At 44.1% G+C, this 20261-nt stretch overlaps 1 protein-coding gene across 3 annotated transcripts in view, besides 2 other annotated features; it reads left to right on the top strand.

Annotated features, from left to right (window-relative positions):
- Positions 11664-12653: a silencer, noted in NCBI's record as "silent region_1223". NCBI's record gives its function as "represses an Ori minimal core promoter by ATAC-STARR-seq in GM12878 lymphoblastoid cells {active_cell/tissue: GM12878}" and the evidence as "EXISTENCE:reporter gene assay evidence [ECO:0000049][PMID:35858748]".
- Positions 11789-12547: an enhancer, noted in NCBI's record as "H3K27ac hESC enhancer chr1:116184448-116185206 (GRCh37/hg19 assembly coordinates)". NCBI's record gives its function as "activates a minimal SCP1, AML or CMV promoter by ChIP-STARR-seq in primed H9 embryonic stem cells {active_cell/tissue: H9 hESC(primed)}" and the evidence as "EXISTENCE:reporter gene assay evidence [ECO:0000049][PMID:30033119]".
- VANGL1 (VANGL planar cell polarity protein 1) overlaps positions 11932-20261 on the top strand; it is a 56252-nt gene continuing 47922 nt past the window's right edge. For 2 of the 3 annotated variants that reach the window (NM_138959.3, NM_001172411.2), the window contains exon 1: positions 11932-12048. The gene's annotated coding sequence lies outside the window, so the exon portion shown is untranslated. Of the gene's footprint in view, positions 12049-12590; positions 12669-20261 lie in introns of those variants that run through there. The other variant, NM_001172412.2, reaches the window with a different exon arrangement.

A 20261-nucleotide genomic window follows, 5' to 3' on the forward strand; every position in this document is an offset into this window, starting at 1 on the left:
TGAGTACAGAAGCTTTAGTCTGTTTTAATATATCCCCAGAGACTAGAATAGTAACTGGTACACAGTGAGTGTTCAATAAATGTTTGTTGAATTAATTGTTGAATCACTGATCAATGTTACATTACCTAATTTTATATCTCTAGTAGCTAACATATTGCCTAGCACATAGTAGATACCAGAAGAAGATATCATAGAAGTCAGGCACTGTGGCATGCACTTATAGTCCCAGAGGCTAAGGTGGGAAGATTGCTTGAGATCAGGAATTTGAGTCCAGCCTGGGCAATATAGTAAGACTGTTTCTAAAAAATAAACTTAAATAAAAATGAAATTTTAAAACACTTGGAAAGAACATTTCAGGTTTATCTGTGGTGCCTGAGCACGTACTCTTAAGGAAAAAAAAAAATCCAAACATTAGTGTTGGATTCCAGGTTCTCTACCTTCTAATCCTGGCCACTCAATTTTGAATCCTCTTTGTCTCAGCATAAGCCTTTATCTTGACCCTGACTGCCCTGCTTCCTGCCCTTGAGTAAATACCAGGCATTGCTCTTCCTCTCTCTGGCCCACACTCCAAACAGAAACACTGTTGAACCATTCTTCAACATGTACATACTGAGCACCTGGGATCCAGCCACTGTCCTCCACCTATGCCTATTCCATTTCTCTTTCCTCAAGGCGAGGACAAATTGACCCTCCCTTGGGAAGCTTTCCCTAACTATCCAGGCCTGTGTGACTCTCTCACTGGGCACTAATGACCCATACTGTAGCACCTCATCACTGGCATTATTAACCAGCAGACATAAAATAAACGTATGTAGATTTTACAGAAAATGGCCCTTTAAAGAATTGGCACTTTTTAACATTTCAAACATTTTGGATGGAAATTTTTCTGATATTTATTTTACATCTTCTCTGTCTTCTCAAATAGAGTACTATATACAGAAGGGCCATCTCACCTTTTACAACGAAGGCACTGTGCATCCCTAGCCATTATTCTGTGATGTGTAGTGTGTCAGGAGCAAAAGAGAAGGGCATGAGCTCTGGAATTAAACAATCCTCATAGTGATCCTCTTTGCAGTCCCTGGGGTCTTCCTGAGGTCACTGCCTGACTCTTTTTGATGTGTTGCTAATCTATAGTGAATCAGATAGTAAAGTTTATTAGAATTGTTAGTAAACCAAGTGTAAACAGTATCTAAGTGGGGTATGAGGGAGTCACTTGTTTATCAACCCTCTCTACTTTAAGGCATAGACTTTGCACAGTCTATTTTGTGGATCAGAGGCCTTTCTCACTTAACTCCTGTTATTTGGGGTTTACTCATAATTCTTGAGGTTGGTTAAGTAACTTCTTAAAAAAGTGTGATTTAATGCATTTAGCATTTTATGTATTATCTTCTGTTAACAACCTTTATATGCATATATAAAAACTCTGTAATTAGATTGTTCTCTGGTTAAATTATTAGCTTCCCAGGGCAAAAAGTATTTTATAGTCATTTACTCATGTGCTAAGTATTTTAGAAAGCAACTACTATGTGAAAAGATCTGTGACAGAAAAAAGATAAATAAGACATGGTATTTACACATTATTGAGGAGATAAGACACAAATAACAATACAAAGCAATAAGGTAAATGTAAAAAATTCAGAGTGCTATGGCAATTCAAATAGAAGAAACTTCTGGTTGGGAGACCTGTGAAAGGCTTCATGAAACAGGTGGCATTTGAGTTGGGTCTTCGTGAACAGGAAAAATTTCAGTGGGTAGCTGAGAAGGAAAAACAAACTCAGTTCTTCCTATGTACTCTCACAACATGGAATGCTTCTCTGACCACAAGTGTAAGGGATTTTCCCACAGACCAAGCAAGCAAGCAATTTTGCAGGAGATACCACCTGGGTATCCTCTAATTCAAATCGATTCTGACACTATGGACTTGAAGAGTGTCAAGACCCACAGGCTGAGGGCTCAGCCTCCAAGAATGCCCTCACTTCGGCCAGTTGCAAGTCCAGGACTCTGGAACTTATGGCCAACTGGCTATAAATCAGGGTTCCCACAACCCCCTCATCAGATTCGATTAATTTGTTACAGTGGATCATAGAACTCAGGGAAACACTTATGTTGATGATAAAGGATATCTGAAATAATACAAATCAACAGTCAGATGAAGAGACACACAGCAGGAGGTCTGGAAGGGTGGCACCCAGGAGCTTCCATCTTGGTGGAATTGGGCTCCGCCACCCTCTAGACACATGGATATGTTCTTCTTCACTGTCCTAGAAGCCTCCATGTGTTTGCCTATCTAGTAGTTACCCAAACCCAGTCCTTTGGGGTTTTTACGGAAGCTTCATCACAGAGGCATGATTGATTAAATCATTGGCCACTGTGATCAGCTTAACCTTCACCCCCCTCTCCTCTCAGCTGGTATCTGCTGCAGAATTGATTGCTAGCTTGGTGTGTGGGGAAATATTCCTACAGCGGGGTCTGAAAAGCATTCTGTATTGTGAGAGTACAATAGGAAGAAACTAAGTTTATTTTTTCTTCTCAGCTACCCACTAAAATTTTTCCTATCCACCAAGCCCCAGTTGAAAAGCCACCAGTTGCACGAAGACTTCTGCAGGTCTCCCAAACAGAAAACAGTTTCTCCTATTTGAATTCCCACAGCACTCAATCTGAATGCTCACCTTGTTGCTTCCTATTGGTTATTTGCATCCTATCTCCTCAATAATGTATAAATACCACAGGCAGAACCCTTCAACCCTGTGACTACAGAATTGGTTTCCCTGACAACCAGTATCTCTCCCCCAATGCTACAAAGTGTTAACTAGGGACTTCCCAAAAATTGCCTCATTAACATAAGCTCAGGTGTGGGTGAAAAGCATTTGTTATAAATAACAAAAGACTGTCTTTCACCTTTATCACTCTGAAACTGTTTCCAGAGCTGCTTCAGGAATCAAGGACAAAAAGTCAAATACTTGAACAAAAGATATCCTTACTGCTCTAGTCACTTAGGAAATAAGAATCTCACAGGAGATGTGAGCCAGGAACCACCATGGATGAAAACCAAAACATATACATCATCATATCACTGCAGCATACCAAGATTTGGGAAAGCTGTGAGAATGAGAAGGGAGAAATATTTGTATGCATTTGTGGAACACAGAGTCTTGAGATCATCCAGTGCATAGTACCCCACTTCCCACATTGAATTTGCAACAAATATATTAGTGAAACAAAGAAATGGCATGTGGCACCCACAATATTACTTTTATTACTAATTAAGGATAAGCTGGAGCACTCAACTTTGGGCAAAAGCCAAATGAGGCTGAACCACTTGGTAACAGTAACCTTGAGCTAGAGCAGGCCTCCATCATTCAGTTCTTGAGAAGTTTTCCAATGCTTACCTTTTCAGCTTGAACACTTAAGATCACTGGAGAAAAATGGACAGTAAATGGCATTTTTTAAAAATTATGCTTCAAGTTCTGGGATACATGTGCAGAACGTGCAGGTTTGTTACATAGGTATACATGTGCCATACTGGTTTTCTGCACCCATCAACCCGTCATCTACATTAGGTATTTCTCCTAATGCTATGCCACCCCTAGTCCTCCAACCCACCGACAGGCCCTGGTGTGTGATGTTCCCCTCCCTGTGTCCATGTGTTCTCATTGTTCAACTCCCACTTATGAGTGAGAACATGCAGTGTTTGGTTTTCCATTCCTGTGTTAGTTTGACAAGAATGATGGTTTCCAGCTTCATCCATGACCCTGCAAAAGACATAACTCTTCCTTTTTTATGGCTGCATAGTATTCCATGGTGTATATGTGCCACATTTTCTTTATCCAGTCTATCATTGATGGACATTTGGGTTGGTTCCAAGTCTTTGCTCTTGTGAACAGTGCTGCAATAAACACACATGTGCATATGTCTTTATAGTAGCATGATTTATAATCCTTCAGGTATATACCCAGTAATGGGATGGCTGGGTCAAATGGTATTTCTGGTTCTAGATCCTTGAGGAATCGCCACACTGTCTTCCACATGGTTGAACTAATTTACACTCAGACCAACAGTGCAAAAGCATTCCTATTTCTCCACATCCTATCCAGCATCTCTTGTTTCCTGACTTTTTAATGATCGCCATTCTAACTGGCATGAGATGGTATCTCATTGTGGTTTTGATTTGCATTTCTCTAATGACCAGTGATGATGAGCTTTTTTTTATATGTTTGTTGGCTGCATAAATGTCATCTTTTGAGAAGTGTCTGTTCATATCCTTTACCCACTTTTTGATGGGATTGTTTTTTTCTTGTAAATTTGTTTAAGTTCCTTGTAAATTCGGGATATTAGCCCTTTGTCAGATGGATAGATTGCAAAAATTTTCTCCCATTCTGTAGGTTGCCTTTTCACTCTGATGGTAGTTTCTTTCGCTGTGCAGAAGCTCTTTAGTTTAATCAGATCCCATTTGTGAATTTTGGCTTTTGTTGCCATTGCTGTTGGTATTTTAGTCATGAAGTCTTTCCCATGCCTATGTCCTGAATGGTATTGCCTAGGTTTTCTTCTATGATTTTTATGGGTTTAGGTCTTACGTTTAAATCTTTAATCCACCTTGAGTTAATTTTTGTATAAGGTGTAAGGAAGGGGTCCAGTTTCAGTTTTCTGCATATGGCTAGCCAGTTTTCCCAACATCATTTATTAAATAGTGAATCCTTTCCCCATTGCTTGTTTTTGTCAGGTTTGTCAAAGATCAGAGGGTTGTACATGTGTGGTGTTATTTCTGAGGCCTCTGTTCTGTTCCATTGGTCTATATATCTGTTTTGGTACTAGTACCATGCTGTTTTGGTTACTGTAGGTAGCCTTGTAGTATAGTTTGAAGTCAGGTAGCATGATGCCTCCAGCTTTTTGCTTAGGATTGTCTTGGCTATATGGGCTCTTTTTTGGTTCCATGTGAAATTTAAAGTAGTTCTTTCTAATTCTGTGAAGAAAGTCAATGGTAGCTTGATGGGGATAGCATTAAATCTACAAATTACTTTGGGCAGTATGGCCATTTTCACAATATTGATTCTTCTTATCCATGAGCATGAATGTTTTTACATTTGTTTGTGTTCTCTCTTATTTCCTTGAGCAGTGGTTTATACTTCTCCTTGAAAAGGTTCTTCACATCCCTTGTAAGTTGTATTCTTAGGTATTTATTCTCTTTGTAGCAACTGTGAATGGGAGTTCACTCATGGTTTGGCTCTCGGTTTTTCTGTTTTTGGCGTATAGGAATGCTTGTGATTTTTGCACATTGATTTTGTATCCTGAGACTTTGCTGAAGTTGCTTATCAGTTTAAGGAGATTTTGGGCTGAGATGATGGGGTTTTCTAAATATACAATCATGTCATCTGCAAACAGAGACAATTTGACTTCCTCTCTTCCTATTTGAATACCCTTTATTTCTTTCTCTTGCCTAATTGTCCTGGCCAGAACTTCCAATACTATGTTGAATAGGAGTAGTGAGAGAGAACATCCTTGTCTTGTGCCAGTTTTCAAAGGGAATGCTTCCAGCTTTTGCCCATTCAGTATGATATTGGCTGTGGGTTTGTCATAAATAGCTCTTATTATTTTGAGATATGTTCCATCAATACCTAGTTTATTGAGAGTTTTTAGCATAAAGGGGTGTTGAATTTTATCAAAGGCCTTTTCTGCATCTATTGAGATAATCATGTGGTTTTTGTCATTGGTTCTGTTTATGTGATGGATTATGTTTATTGATTTGCATATGTTGAACCAGCCTTGCATTCCAGGGATAAAGCCAACTGGATCATGGTGGATAAGCTTTTCCATGTGCTGCTGGATTTGGTTTGCCAGTAATTTATTGAAGATTTTCGCATTGCTGTTCATCAGGGATATTGGCCTGAAATTTTCTTTTTTTATTGTGTTTCTGCCACGTTTTGGTATCAGGATGATGCCAGCCTCATAAAATGAGTTAGGGAGGAGTCCCTCTTTTTCTATTGTTTGGAATAGTTTCAGAAGGAATGGTACCAGCTCCTCTTTGTACCTCTGGTAGAATTTGGCTGTGAATACGTCCAGTCCCAGGCTTTTTTTAGGTGGTAGGCTATTAATTACTGCCTTAATTTCAGAACTTGTTATTGATCTATTCAGGGATTCAAATTCTTCCTGGTTTAGTCTTGGGAGCATGTATGTGTCAAGGAATTTGCCCATTTCTTCTAGATTTTCTAGTTTATTTGTGTAGAGGTGTTTACAGTATTCTCTGATGGTAGTTTGTATTTCTGTGGGATGAGTGATGATATCCCCTTTATCATTTATTATTGTGTCTAGTTGATTCTTCTCTATTTTCTTCCTTATTAGTCTGGCTAGCAGTCTATCTATTTTGTTAATCTTTTCAAAAAAAAAACAGCTCTTGGTTTAATTGATTTTTGAAGGGTTTTTCATGTCTCTATCTCCTTCAGTTCTGCTCTGATCTTAGTTATTTCTTGCCTTCTGCTAGCTTTTGAATTTGTTTGCTTGCTTCTTTAGTTCCTTTAACTGTGATGTTAGGGTATCAATTTTAGATCTTTCCTGCTTTCTCCTTTGGGCATTTAGTGCTAAAAATTTTCCTCTAAACACTGCTTTAGCTGTGTCCCAGAGATTCTGGTACCTTTTGTCTTTGTTCTCATTGGTTTCAAATAACTTATTTATTTCTGCCTTAATTTCATTATTTACCCAGTAGTCATTCAGGAGCAGGTTGTTCAGTTTCCATGTAGTTGTGCAGTTTTGAGTGAGTTTCTTAATCCTGAGTTCTAATTTGATTGTACTGTGGTCTGAGAAACTGTTATGATTTCCATTCTTTTGCATTTGCTGAGGAGTGTTTTACTTCCAATTATGTGGTCAATTTTAGAATAAGTGTGATGTGGTGCTGAGAAGAATGTATATTCTGTTGATTTGGGGTGGAAAGTTCTATAGATGTCTATTAGGTCTGCTTGGTCCAAAGCTGAGTTCAAGTCCTGAATATCCTTGTTAATTTTCTGTCTCATTGATTTATCTAATATTGACAGTGGGGTGTTAAAGTCTCCCACTATTTTTGTGTGGGAGTCTAACTCTCTTTGTAGGTCTCTAAGAACTTGCTTTATGAATCTGGGTGCCCCTGTATTGGGTGCATATATATTTAAGATCGTTAGCCCTTCTTGTTGCATTGATCCCTTTATCATCATGTAATACCCTTCTTTGTCTTTTTTGATCTTTGTTGGTTTAAAGTCTGTTTTATCAGAGACTAGGATTGCAATTCTGCTTTTTTTTGTTTTCCATTTGCTTGGTAAATATTCCTCCATCCCTTTATTTTGAGCCTATGTGTGTCTTTGCACATGAGATTGGTCTCCTGAATACAGCACACCGATGGGTCTTGACTCTTTATCCAATTTGCCAGTCTGTGTCTTTTAATTGGGGCATTTAGCCCATTTACATTTAAGGTTAATATTGTTCTGTGTGAATTTGATCATGTTATTATGATGCTAGCTGGCTATTTTGCCCATTAGTTGATGCAGTTTCTTCATAGTGTCAATGGTCTTTACAATTTGGTATGTTTTTGCAGTGGCTGGGTACTGGTTTTTCCTTTCCATATTTAGTGGTTCCTTCAGGAGCTCTTGTAAGGTAGGCCTGTTGGTGACAAAATAGCTCAGCATTTGCTTGTCTGTAAAGGATTTTATTTCTCCTTAGCTTACGAAGCTTAGTTTGGCTGGATATGAAATTCTGGTTTGAAAATTCTTTTCTTTAAGTGTGTTGAATATTGGCATCCACTCTCTTCTGGCTTGTAGCAGTTCTGCAGAGAGATCCACTGTCAGTCTGATGGGCTTTCCTTTGTGGGTAACCCAACCTTTCTCTCTGGCTGCCCTTAACATTTTTTTCCTTCATTCCAACCTTGGTGAATCTGATGATTATGTGTCTTGGGGTTGCTCTTCTTGAGGAGTATCTTTGTGGTGTTCCCTGCATTTCCTGAATTTGAATGTTGGCCTGTCTTGCTAAGTTGGGGAAGTTCTCCTGGATAATATCCTGAAAAGTGTTTTCCAACTTGGTTCCATTCTCCCCGTCACTTTCAGGTACAACAATCAAACGTAGGTTTGGTCTTTTCACATAGTCCCATATTTCTTGGAGGCTTTGTTCATTCCCTTTCATTCTTTTTCTCTAATCTTGTTTTCACACTTTATTTCATTAAGTTGATCTTCAATCTCTGATATCCTTTCTTCCGCTTGATTGATTCAGCTATTGATACTTGTGTATGCTTCACGAATTTCTCATGCTGTGTTTTTCAGCTCCATCAGGTCATTTATGTTCTTCTCTAAACTGGTTATTCTAGTTAGCAATTCCTATAACCTTTTTTCAAGGTTCTTAACTTCCTCTTATTGGGTTAGAACATGCTCCTTTAGCTTGGAGGAGTTTGTTATTACCCACCTTCTGAAGCCTACTTCTGTCAGTTTGTCAGACTCATTCTCCATTCCAGTTTTGTTCCCTTGATGGTGAGGAATTGTGATCCTTTGAAGGAGAAGAGGTGCTCTGGTTTTTGGAATTTTCAGCCTTTTTGTGCTGGTTTTTCCTCATCTTTGTGGATTTATCTACCTTTGGTCTTTGATGTTGGTGACCTTGGGATAAGGTTTTTGTGTGGACGTCTTTTTTGTTGATATTGATGCTATTCGTTTCTGTTCGTTAGTTTTCCTTTTAATAGTCAGGCCCCTCTGCTTCAGGTCTTTTGGACTTTGCTGGCGGTCCACTCCAAACCGTGTTTGCTCGCGTATCACCAGCAGAGGCTGCAGAACAGCAAAGAACAGCCTGTTCCTTCCTCTGGAAGCTTTGTCCCAGAGGGGCACCTGCCGGATGCCAGTCAGAGCTCTCCTGTATGAAGTGTCTGTCGACCACTGCTGGGAGGTGTCTCCCAGTCAGGAGGCACAGGGGTCAGGGACCCACTTGAGGAACCATTCTGTCCCTTAGCAGAGCTCGAATGCTGTGCTGGGAGATCTGCTGTTCTCTTCGGAGCTGGCAGGCAAGAACATTTAAGTCTGCTGAAGCTGCACCCACAGCTGCCCCTTTCCCCAGGTGCTCTATCCCAGGGAGATGGGAGTTTTATCTACAAGCCCCTGACTGGATCTGCTGCCTTTCTCTGAGATATGCCCTGCCCAGAGTGGAGGAATCTAGAGAGAAAGTCTGGCTACAGTGGCTTTGTGGAGCTGCAGTGGGCTCTGCTCGGTTCAAACTTCCCAGTGGCTTTCTTTACACTGTCAGGGGAAAATCATCTACTCAAGCCTCAGTAATGGCGGATGCCCCTCCCCTCAACAAGCTCCAGCATCCCAGGTCGACTTCAGACTGCTGTGCTGGCAGCAAGAATTTCAAGCCAGTGGATCTTAGCTTGTTGGGCTCCATGGGGGTGGAATCCCCTGAGCTAGACCACTTGGCTTCCTGGCTTCAGCCCCCATTCCAGGGGAGTGAGCAGTTACGTCTCACTGGCATTCCAGGAGCCACTGAGGTATGAAAGAAACCTTCTGCAGGTATCTCAGTGTCTGCCCAAATGGCCGCCCAGTTTTGTGCTTGAAACCCAGGGCTCTGGTGGCATAGGCACCCAAGGGACTTTCCTGGTCTGTTGTTTGTGAAGACCATGGGAAAAGCATAGTATCTGGGCTGGAATGTACTGTTCCTCACAGCACAGTCCCTCATGGTTTCCCTTGGCTAGGGGAGGGAGTTCCCCAATCCCTTGCGCTCCCTGGGTGAGGTGACGCCCCACCCTGCTTCAGCTCGCCCTCTGTAGGCTGCACCCACTGTCTAACCAGTCCCAATGAGATAAGCTGGGTACCTCAGTCGGAAATGCAGAAATCACCTGCCTTCTGCATTGATCTTGCTGGGAGCTGCATACTGGAGCTGTTCCTATTCAGCCATCTTGCCCAGGTCCCCCGGCATGTTTTTTTTTTTTTTTTTTTAATTGAGATGGAGTCTCGTTTTGCCCAGGCTGGAGTGCAGTGGCATGATATCAGCTCACTGCAACATCTGCCTCCTAGGTTCAAGCAATTCTCCTGCCTCAGCCTCCTGAGTAGCTGGGATTACAGGTGCCTGCCACCACGCCTGGCTAATTTTTTTATTTTTAGTAGAGATGGGGTTTCGCCATGTTGGCCAGGCTGGTCTTGAACGCATGACCCCAAGTGATCTGCCCATCTCAGCCTCCCAAAGTGTTGGGATTACAAGCTTCAGCCACCAAGCCCGGCCTCTACATGGCATTTAAAGGTGAATTTATTATTTTAAAATAGGTTATTTGCAACTACCCCTCTTTCCCACAAAACATCATCTGGTAAGGTGGCTAGACATAAGAACCTAAGTGAATTAGAATTACTTTCTGAAAACTCATTGAAGATCTCTGTGTTAATTGGAGCTATTCAGGTACATGACTAGAATTGGAAATCCCTGGCCTGTTTGAACTTTGAAAGTTCTACATTTTAGAGATGAGAGAGACATGTTTTTATAATGTTCTACATTTCTGACCCTGAGTGCTGATTTGGGTGAATAGACCATTGGCTTTACCCATAGGAACCTGGCTGCCTGAGTCAGCAACATCTGCTCTCTGGAGCCTACTGGGAGGCTGGGGGTGGGGGAGGAAGATGGTCTAGGCCACTGAGTGGGGCAGCAGAGCCTGGGGACTAGGAGTGGTGAAAATCAGCCACATTGAACATATGGGTGTCTTCTCAAGGAAATGTGACATATGCGAGAGAAAATGGAGTCTAGAAGGGATGAGGAAGAGGTGATCAAGGGAGTGAGGGGTTCTTGGAGCCAAGGTTCCCTGATTAAGGCTAGTCAGGGTGGGCCTGCATTTCCCCACCCCAAATGCCCGCAATACTCCTGTAGACAACTCTTAGGAAATTCAGCACTTCATTATACACTGCTTCCACTGGAAAATCCTGCCACGTAAGCAGCTTTGGGTCCCAGCTAGATTGGAGATGATCAGTAAGGAACCCTAATGCTACCAACACAAGACAACTAAGAAAAGTGCAAATATTCATGAAAATCGTTGCCAACTGTTTTGTAATCCTCACCACAATCCTGCAAGGTGGACAGCAGCATCCTCACCACTTTTCAGACAGGTAAACAAAGGCTCAGAAAGGAAACAGTACCTGGTTGGAATCAGCACTGAAGCTTCAGCTACCTGCCTGCAGAGATGTGCTCATCTAGCAGTTTCTAGGAGACTAGGCTGGCGGCAGTGCCTGCTCTGATAAGGGAGGAGGAGGGGAGAGGCTTGCTGTGGTGGCTTGTAGGGGGTGTGTGTGTGTGTGTGTGTGTGTGTGTGTGTGTGTCTATTTGTGGGGTCATTTCCAGGGCTACATGTGAGTTTAAGTGTGTGTATATGGGTTGAGATATGGTGTATATGGATATTTGTCGGTCAGTTCTTGGAAAGTGTGTATATGAGTGTGTGTTGAGTGGGGTTGGGGGGTTAGTCCCTGAGCCGTGTGAATATGTGGATGGGGGCACTCGTGAGGGCAAATGGGCTCGGATTTTGTGCATGATTGTGTGTGTGTGTGTGTGTGTGTGAGCTTGAGATTCCAAGTATGTGGGGGAGGGAGGGGGCGGTGTCGGAGATCAATCCCTGGGCCATGTGTTTATAGTGTGTGTGTCTGCCCAGAAGAGAGTGGGTTACTGGGCTGTGCACGTCTGTGTAGGGTGAGTGTGTGTATGAGGGTGAATGAGTGTGGGAGGTGTCATTCCCTGGTCCGTGTGTAAGAGTGTGACCGCGCACGCCTTCGTGTGTGTCCCGGGTGTGTGGGGTCGGGGCGGTGACGAGGTGAGGGGGACGCCGGCCGAGCCCCGCCCTCCGCTGCAGGTGGGCCGGCCCCGCGGCGGGGCCGGCAGCGCTAGCTGTTCTTGGCTCGCGGCCGCGCCGGGCTCGCAGGGCTGGGCTCGGGCTGCGGGGCGGCGCCGGGACAGGAAGCGGAAAGCAGCAGTGCAGCGGCGGCGGCGGCGGGGCTCTGCCTCTCCAGGAGCCCAGCGCAGGCCGCAGAGCCGGGGCCGCTGTGAGCCGAGACCGCGGGCCGCGGAGCTCGGGCGGCCGGCGCGGAGGTGAGTCCCGCGAGAGGCCGAGCGCTGCGCGGCGGCGGTCCCCGGGGCAGACCGTTGGCTGGGAGACGCCCCCACCTCGGACCCCGCGTGCCCCTGCGCCCTCCTCCCGCATTCGCCCCGCCGGACTTCGACCCCGGGTGGCCGGCTCCCGCCTCGGGCCGGGGGCTCCCTCCCCTCCTCCGGAGCGCTCCGGGTAGTGCTTCCTCTGACTCCACTCTTCTCCCCATGCGTTGCGCCCCTCCTGGCCCTGCCGTGCGATCTCCGCCGCACCCCACTCCTTGGGGTCCCGGGGTTCCCTGCTCACACCTCGGACGTCCCTTTCTCCCCGGGCTGGCCTTTGGAGTGCGCCCCTTCGGTGCGCGTGCCGGGGCGGCGGGCAGGCCGGCAGGGAGTGGCCGAGCGTTGGAGGCACCGGGCGGCTGCAGCAGCCGTGCAGGGCGGGAGCCGGGCGCGCACCGGGGTTCCCACCCCTGGCGGGGCTCGACCCGGGCGCCGCCTGGCCCTTCGCCAGGAACCGGGACAGAGCTGGTCTGTGTGCACACCTCGCTCACAAAAAATTGAGCCGGCCCTGGAGGCCTGGGGGGCGAGTCCGGTTGCGCCTCGGAGAGCGCAACAGGCAGGTAGGAGTTTACTTTCAAAAACGCCGGGGTGGAGCAGAGGCGCCTGGCGGGTCTCTGCCCAAGGTGTCCCTGCTGGAGGAAATCTCACCGCGCCGGGGCAGCCTTCGCCACCGGCAGGACCTCATTTCCTTCTGCAGTCTTTGAACTGCCCCAAGCATCGCGCCTAGAGAAGTGTGAAGCTTTATAAAAATTTAAACGCGTCCGTGGTGGCGGCAGCAGTGGGGCGGAGCCGCGGCCTGGCTGCTGTGTGATGAGCAGATGAGACTTGGAGCTGAGGAATCTGTTGCTCAGTTTTCACTTCTCCAAACCAGGTCTAATGCCCACGCTGCGAAGGTGTTGTGAGCTCTCTTAGATTCTCCTTAGGAAGTGTTAGAGCGCCTTATGATGATGATTGTGTAGATGGCCCATGCATTTTGTTAAAACTCTTGACCTGGCTTTGGTTAGAAATGAATGTATTCTTAGACACTTAGTCCAAAAGCTAACAAACTGTAAAAGAATCTGGCATTTTCACTGACATGTTTATAAATTTTACGGGGCTGCTGAAAAATATTATAACTTGTATCACCAGTCAACAATGCTAATTAGCATTCTCCCGTCAGTGGGTGGGTTGAGTACACAGCTCCCAGGCTCTGCAAGTGAGATGGCAGAAATTGTCTGAATACAGGGAGAGGTAATTAGCCATTTTCTGTAACCACTAATTATAGAGTTTTTAGGGTTGAATTAAATCAATGTGATATAGTTGGGGCTTTGATTTGTGGGAGGAAACTGTTTCTTTTTCCAGTTCAAAGAAATAACACGCTTCACCTATCCATGAGCATTAAACATTCCCAAACGTTGATGTCTCTCAGTATAATTAGTGAAAACACTCAGTGTGGAATTTCACTATTAACAATGTTGGCAGTGAGGCTTGCTTGCAACTTAATTTGTAAGTAAAATGGGAGAAGAATTTTGAGAGTGATATATTTGTAAGGACTGCTTGCCAAGCAGTACATTTTTATTGTCTTATGTATTAAGCAACAGGACAAAACCATAAAGGAAATTTAAAGTTTCTTTACCAAGCAACAATTCCATGTCACCCTTTGTTTGAAGGATAAATGTGTTGAATGAAGAAGGCATCCTCCCCTTCATCATCCCCTTAACACACTTATATACACACACTGTGCTTGCTACCCTAGGCCTTATCAGCTATTTTGGTGGGATGGGCCCTTGTCACATTGTGTTTTAATTGGAGGTCTCCACATTGGGGCTGTGAGCTCATTGGGAGTTAGAACTATTTTAGATCCATTTCTTTTCTCCTGAGTGCCCCACGATGCTTGGAACACTGAACCTGTGAGTAGAAGTTGAAATTGCAAAATTCTTAGTGGGGTTATATGTGGTTTGGGACAATTTGTGATTGTTGCTTATACTCCTCTATATAAACAAACAATTCTAGTAATTGCTACAGTGCTGTCAATTTTCTGTAGCTAAGAACACAGGTTCTGGAGTTAGACTCTCAACGTTTAAGCCCTGGCTCCTGTGGCAGTCTGGTTTCCCTAACTAACATGATATTAATGTCTTATTTTTCTTAAACACTTGTTATGCGGATTAAGTGAGATATTACATGTAAGTGACTTAAAACAGCATCTAACACATAGTAAACACTTGACAACTAGAAACTGTTAGACTATTACCATCATCTCTGTAAAATCAGCTAGCTGGTTAGGGTCTCGCTGTATAGGGCATGTGATTTGGGCATCATGCTATTCTATTTTCCTTAAGATGGAAAAGATTAGGTGGGCTTGTGATTGGACCATGTTTCTGTTAGCAATATTGGTTTGGTGTTAGCAGTATTGGTTTGATGTTAGCAGTATTGAAGTTTGATGCAAGGATACATGTGTGTGCTGTTGTCTCTAGCAGTGTCCTTCTGAATCCCAGTTACAGGACAACAGTGATCAGACTCTGTACCATCAGATTTACAGAGGAGATAGTACTCATGAGATCTATTTTTCTGAAGTTTAAATATCTGGCAGGGAACAAGGGAGTCACTTGCAAGCAAATATACATCACATAACTCCAGACATGTTAACGATTCACACCTCTTCAGAAATCTGTACCCAGCTGCTGGAGGTGTTTCAGGGGTAATTAATGACTGGAGCCAAGAGAAGTTATTCTGGCAAGGTGAGTTGAAATCATTGGCGAAACAAGTAAAACAAAGTTGACATTTTCTTTCCTTGTAAATAATGACCCAGAATCATTCATTTATAAGCTGTTGTAATAAAAGAATCATTGGGTTTGTCACAAATGCCATAAGCCCAGCAGATCCTCACATCAGTGACCTGCATGATGTTTGGTGGTTTATAGGCCACAAGTTCAAAATGTTTTATAGATTTGCCCTGCATCTCTGCCCGCTCCTTTCCAGCCCATGCCCCTCCAAATAAACCCACTAAAACACACACGGTTTCCTCTGGTCTCTCTGACATTTGCTTCCAACCTGGGGATGGTAAATAGAGGCCTGTAAGAAACAGAATAGAAATCACTTGTTACTCAGCTATAGCTAATAGTAGCAGTTAAAGGTGGTAGCAGAGACCAGAAAAATGTGTATAAGTTCAGTGAAAATGATACAGAAGTTATATGCCATACAACCCCTTCAGTTCTTCCTAACTGAAGGAATTTTACTCTAGTGAATACTAGTAGTAGTTGACAGCTGTGAGTGCCTACCACGTGCTAGGCACTGTTCTAATAATTTTTATGAATTATCTCATTTAATACCTACCACAGATCTATAATATAAGTAAAATAAAATCTGTTGTTACAGTTAGGGAAACTGAGGCAGAGAGCAGTTAAGTAACTTGTTCTGAGGTCACACAGCTAAGTACTAGAGCCAGGATTTGAATGCTCTTCACCCACAATTTGGGCTCATTGCTACTCTCTAGAAGAATAGTTGACTCTAAACAAAATTATTTCAATTGTCACTTTCCCCTTGAGTGCCATTTAATTAAGAATGGGTACCCCTAAGAAGAATGTTAGCTTCAAGACATAATATAAATAATAATTAATAGCATAATCTCTGCAGAATTCTATGTAAAAATCAAATATTCAGAATAATATACACAGCATATATAAGCATGGTTGTACCAGACACCACTTTTCCTTGGAAATAGATCTACTTACTGCATAGGAAGCAAAATCTCTCTTTAAATTCAGTGCGTGTCTCTGTAACCCTTACAAAGTAACTTTCCAAACCAGAGCTCCCTTAATTACTTAATAGCTCTAGGCAGAGCTGTTGATGTTTTTATAATTTCCTTTTTGCGAAGGTTAGCTTATGTTTACCACTGTCATTATCATAACATATTATTTCCTTCATACGATTTGCTAAACACTGTGTTTTCATATTAAGTAGTAGGATTTTTATATGAGTGAACATGACTTTAGGAGAGAATTCTGTTTGAGGCTGATTATCTTCATTTTGCTTTTGATAAAGGGTGGTGAAGGAGGTTCTTTCTGACATTTTTGCCTAGGAAGTCCAGAATTTAGGACACTGCCACTTAGAAGCACTCTGTGCACCTATCTCCCATTGTTGACCTTGCCTGCATGCAATGTGGTTCAATGAGCCTGGCCGTGTCCTAATATTTGCCTCCAGCCCCTACCCAAGCAGTGCCAAGCAATACACTCTTAAGGGGTGGGTGACCGGTGAGGCAAGATGCTCTTGGGCAGTGGCTGAAAGAGGCTGCTGCTGATTTTTACTCAGTGTGTCTGGCATACGAACTCTGCCCCTGAGTGGGACTGCCATGCGAGCCAGTAGTATAGCTTTTTTTTTTTTTTTTTTGATAGTTCTGGTATCACGCCTCTATCTAATATCTGCATCTTTTTTTTTGCCACCTCTAAAACTAAGGATTTAAAATAGATAATTTCTAAAGTTTCTTCCACAATGAATCTATGGCCTCATGTCCTAAGATCTGCCACAAAACCCTTCATTCAGCAGACATTTATAGGGTACCCATAATGTCCTAGGAGCTGGAAAGACAGGCAGTCATGAAAGTGCCTCTGCCCTCATGGAGCTTACAGCCTGTGAAGAAACTAGACAATAAGTGATCACACAAACAAATGTATCACTGGAAGTTGGATAGAAAGGAAGAGTACAGGGTACTAGAGAAGAGCCTGACTGAGATTGAAGGATCAGGAAAGGCCTCTTGAAAGGAGCAGTATTTAAATTAAGGAGTGATGAGTAGGAATTTGGCAAAACAGGGCATGTAAAGGGTGAGTACCAACAGATATACTGGGCTCTGCCAAAGCCCTAAGACTCTACCTTAAAGGAGCTGGGGCTAGAGAAGGAGGAGGGAGCTAGAGCGTCGGGCAGGACATTGCATACCAAATGAAAGATTTTTGTATTTTATTTAAAGTGCAGTGGGACACCACGGAAAGGTTTTAAACAGGGAAGTGACGTCTGCATTGTAATTTAAAAGGTCACTCTGGCTGCTGCCCAGCCTGGGCCAAACACAATATGAGTCATGTCAGGGGTCAGTATGATAGACAGTTCCAGGTTCTAGGAGCCATATTCCCACCTTTATATGACTGTCCTATTCATGCTGCTGTGACAGCCTATCAGTGTATTACCCTGGGAACCTGATTCCTTTTCATTGCTTTATTGTCTTTTCTGATAAGGGATTCCTTCTGACCTTATCATGAGTTTGGTTAATTTCTTGTGTATGCAAGGGAACTATCTCATAGATATATCATTGCAGTGGTAAGCTTCAGGATATCCTTTTCCATTAAGTCTGTTGAAGTTCTTACCTTGGCTCAGACTCTTTTAAAATAAGTTCACTTCGGATTTTATTAGTTTGCCTCTTATTGCATCCTCTTAGTCCTCACTCAGATCTTGGATAGGATAAGAGTTGGTAACTATTAGAAACGGTATGACTTAGAAGGGGCCTGAGCTGTGTATAGGCTGGTGAGGACACCTGGAGGCTTTGTAGTGGTCTAGCCCTGTGTAGGTGGAGCCTGGAGGAAGTGGGTGGCTGTGAATCAGTAGAGTGAAGGGAGGATCAGAGAGGGTGTTGAAGGTGGCACAGGGTTAGATCCTTAGGATGAGGGTATTGCTTTAGCTGAGGAATTGGGAAGAACAGGACAGGATACTGGAGAGCACCTATGAGAGGGATGATGGTATTCCCAAGGGGAGCAAGAGGAATCTCAGTAGGAAATGTGCACTTGGGATTTAGTCTTTCAGTAAGTATTTGTTGGGTACCTGCTATGTTCAAAATATCCTGGGTGGAGGTAAGACGTAGTTGCTGTGTTCAAGGAGCTTCTGCCATAGGAAATCTGTGGATGGAGAAGACTGAGAAGAGTTTTGAATGTCAAGGGATAACGTGATGAGGGGAGAGGAGAGGGAGTGTTAGAGGAGAAGTAGTAACATAAGCGGCATCAAATTGGAGGCTAGCCAGCTGCAGAGAAACTCTGCTAGGGCAGGCAGCATGCCTTTGTCATTGCTGTGCCCTAGCATTGCCTAGCATGGTCTTGTAGGTGCCACTTAATATGGAGGTGGATGGACTAATAAATGAAATAAAAAGCACTGGGGGAGGAGGACAAGGATGTTACTTGGCTCATAGCAATCCTTGGCCAACTTTGAGTTGTTTCAGTGGAGTGTTGTGGATGGAGATTTGGACTGAAAGTGGAGAAGGAGGGAGTGACAGCATGTATAGACCACTCCTTTGGTAAGTACAGGAAGGAACCATGGGAGGGAAACCAGACTAGGGTGGTTGGTAGAGTTAGATAAAGCCTTTCCCTGGAGGGCAGTTGGGACCCATGGTTTCCTTTGAGGGACAAGCCTGGAGTTGTCTTAATGAATGGCCACAAGTTTTCAATGAGGACAAGGAATGAAGTCCTCTGGCAGAGGGGGAAGGGAATAAAACTTGGGTTACCATGTGCCAGAGACTTTACCTTTGCAGTTTCATTTAATCCTCACAAGAACCCTGGGAAGAGAGAGTATTAAATGACCTCATTTTTATGGGGCAGGGTTGGATAAGCTCAGAGAGGCAAACATTTGCCCCCTGATGTCACAGCTAGGAAGCACCAAGCTGGATCTGCCCACATCTGCGGGGCCTGGGCCACCTGCCTCTGAGACACTCCAGCAGCATTTAGCAAAAAGTAGCTGGAAGTTGGGATGGAATGGGGAATCCAGAGTTATGGGTTGCAAGGCAGAGTGTAGGAGTTGTGAAGGGTTAATTATGAATCTAGAAGAGAGTGGGAAATCGGTGTTCTGGGCCAGGGAACTGGACATTTGAATCTGCAGATCAGCAGAGGCTGGGTGAGGGGCTTTCAGGGAGGATCTCAGTTCACTCAGGGCTGGAGATCTTCGAAGCACATCCTAATGTTGACGTCTGCCTGTTATGAAGCAGGTGAGAAAACAGCAAAGCCCAGGGCAGAAAGGAAGTGAGACTGAGGTGTTGAAAGCTGATTGAAATTGCTAGTGAAAATGGTGGAGACAGTAGGCAGAAAAAAAGATGACTCAGCCCTTGAAGTCTTCTAGGAAAGTAGGGTAAGTCCAGGAGCAAAACTTAGCATTTAAAAAAGGCCTGCTGTGTTTTCACATTTAATCTTTACAGCTACCTCCCCCCACAAACCCCCACCATAATAGGCTGCCTTGCTTCCTTTTTATGGATTGGGAAGTCTCTGAGGCTCCAAGGAGAAACTGCTTTGCCCAGGTGTACAGCTAGTTAGTAGGCAGCGGACTGAGATGTGTGCTCCGTTCTGTCTGACTGCAGGTGAGCCTTGTGGCAGGAAGGCCGGCACAGAGACTCTGCTCTGCTTCTTTCCAAGCATTTCTCTCATTAAAAAGACAGAGGAACAAGCATTTCGGAACCCGCAAAGAGAGTGCTGATAGACAGTGACTTTCGTTTACCTAGCACATCTGGAGCTCGCGCTGGGTGCCTTCATAGTTGTTAGCTCATTTGGTCTTCACGGCAACCCTGATATTTGCATTTTACAGTTACATGTTCAAAGAGGTTTACTAATTTTGACTGGGGCCTGATAGCTAATAAGTGAGTAAAACCCGAGATTGGAACCCACCTTTGGAAACTGTGTCTGCTTATATTTTCAGATCTACCTGTGAGGTCGGTGGCTGGTTGGTTTACCCTGTTTAACAGATGAGGAAACTGAGGCATAAGAAAGCAAGTGGCTTATCCCAGGTTGTACTAAACAGTGGCTGGGCTCAGACTAGAACTCAGGTTTCCCCAGGGCTAGCCTTGGGCTCCTGATGGCAGAGGAGAAGTGAAATGGTAAGTCAGGGCATCAGGGACAAAGGAGGCTGGCCCTGGGTGGCAGACCTTGGAAGTGATCGTACCTGACTCCCAGGAAGAATGAATGGTAAGGGTAAATACACCCTAACTGGGATTAGAGGCTGTGGGGGCTGTATTGGTGGTGTATGGCAATTTGTGCTGACCTGATTCCCTCCAGACTTATGTGTTGTTGCTGGGGTCAGGGAAACTTGGCCTCCTCCCAGGAGGGTTAGGGTATGGCATTTACAGCTCCTTTGTTTTTTCTTCACACTTATCTCACTGGCTGTGTTTGCAGTTTCAGCTTCCAGCGGCTGGAAGAAGGAACCCTGTTGAGCTGAGACTA

Source organism: Homo sapiens, chromosome 1 (genome assembly GCF_000001405.40).
Source record: "Homo sapiens chromosome 1, GRCh38.p14 Primary Assembly".
NCBI classification, from domain to species: Eukaryota; Metazoa; Chordata; class Mammalia; order Primates; family Hominidae; genus Homo; species Homo sapiens.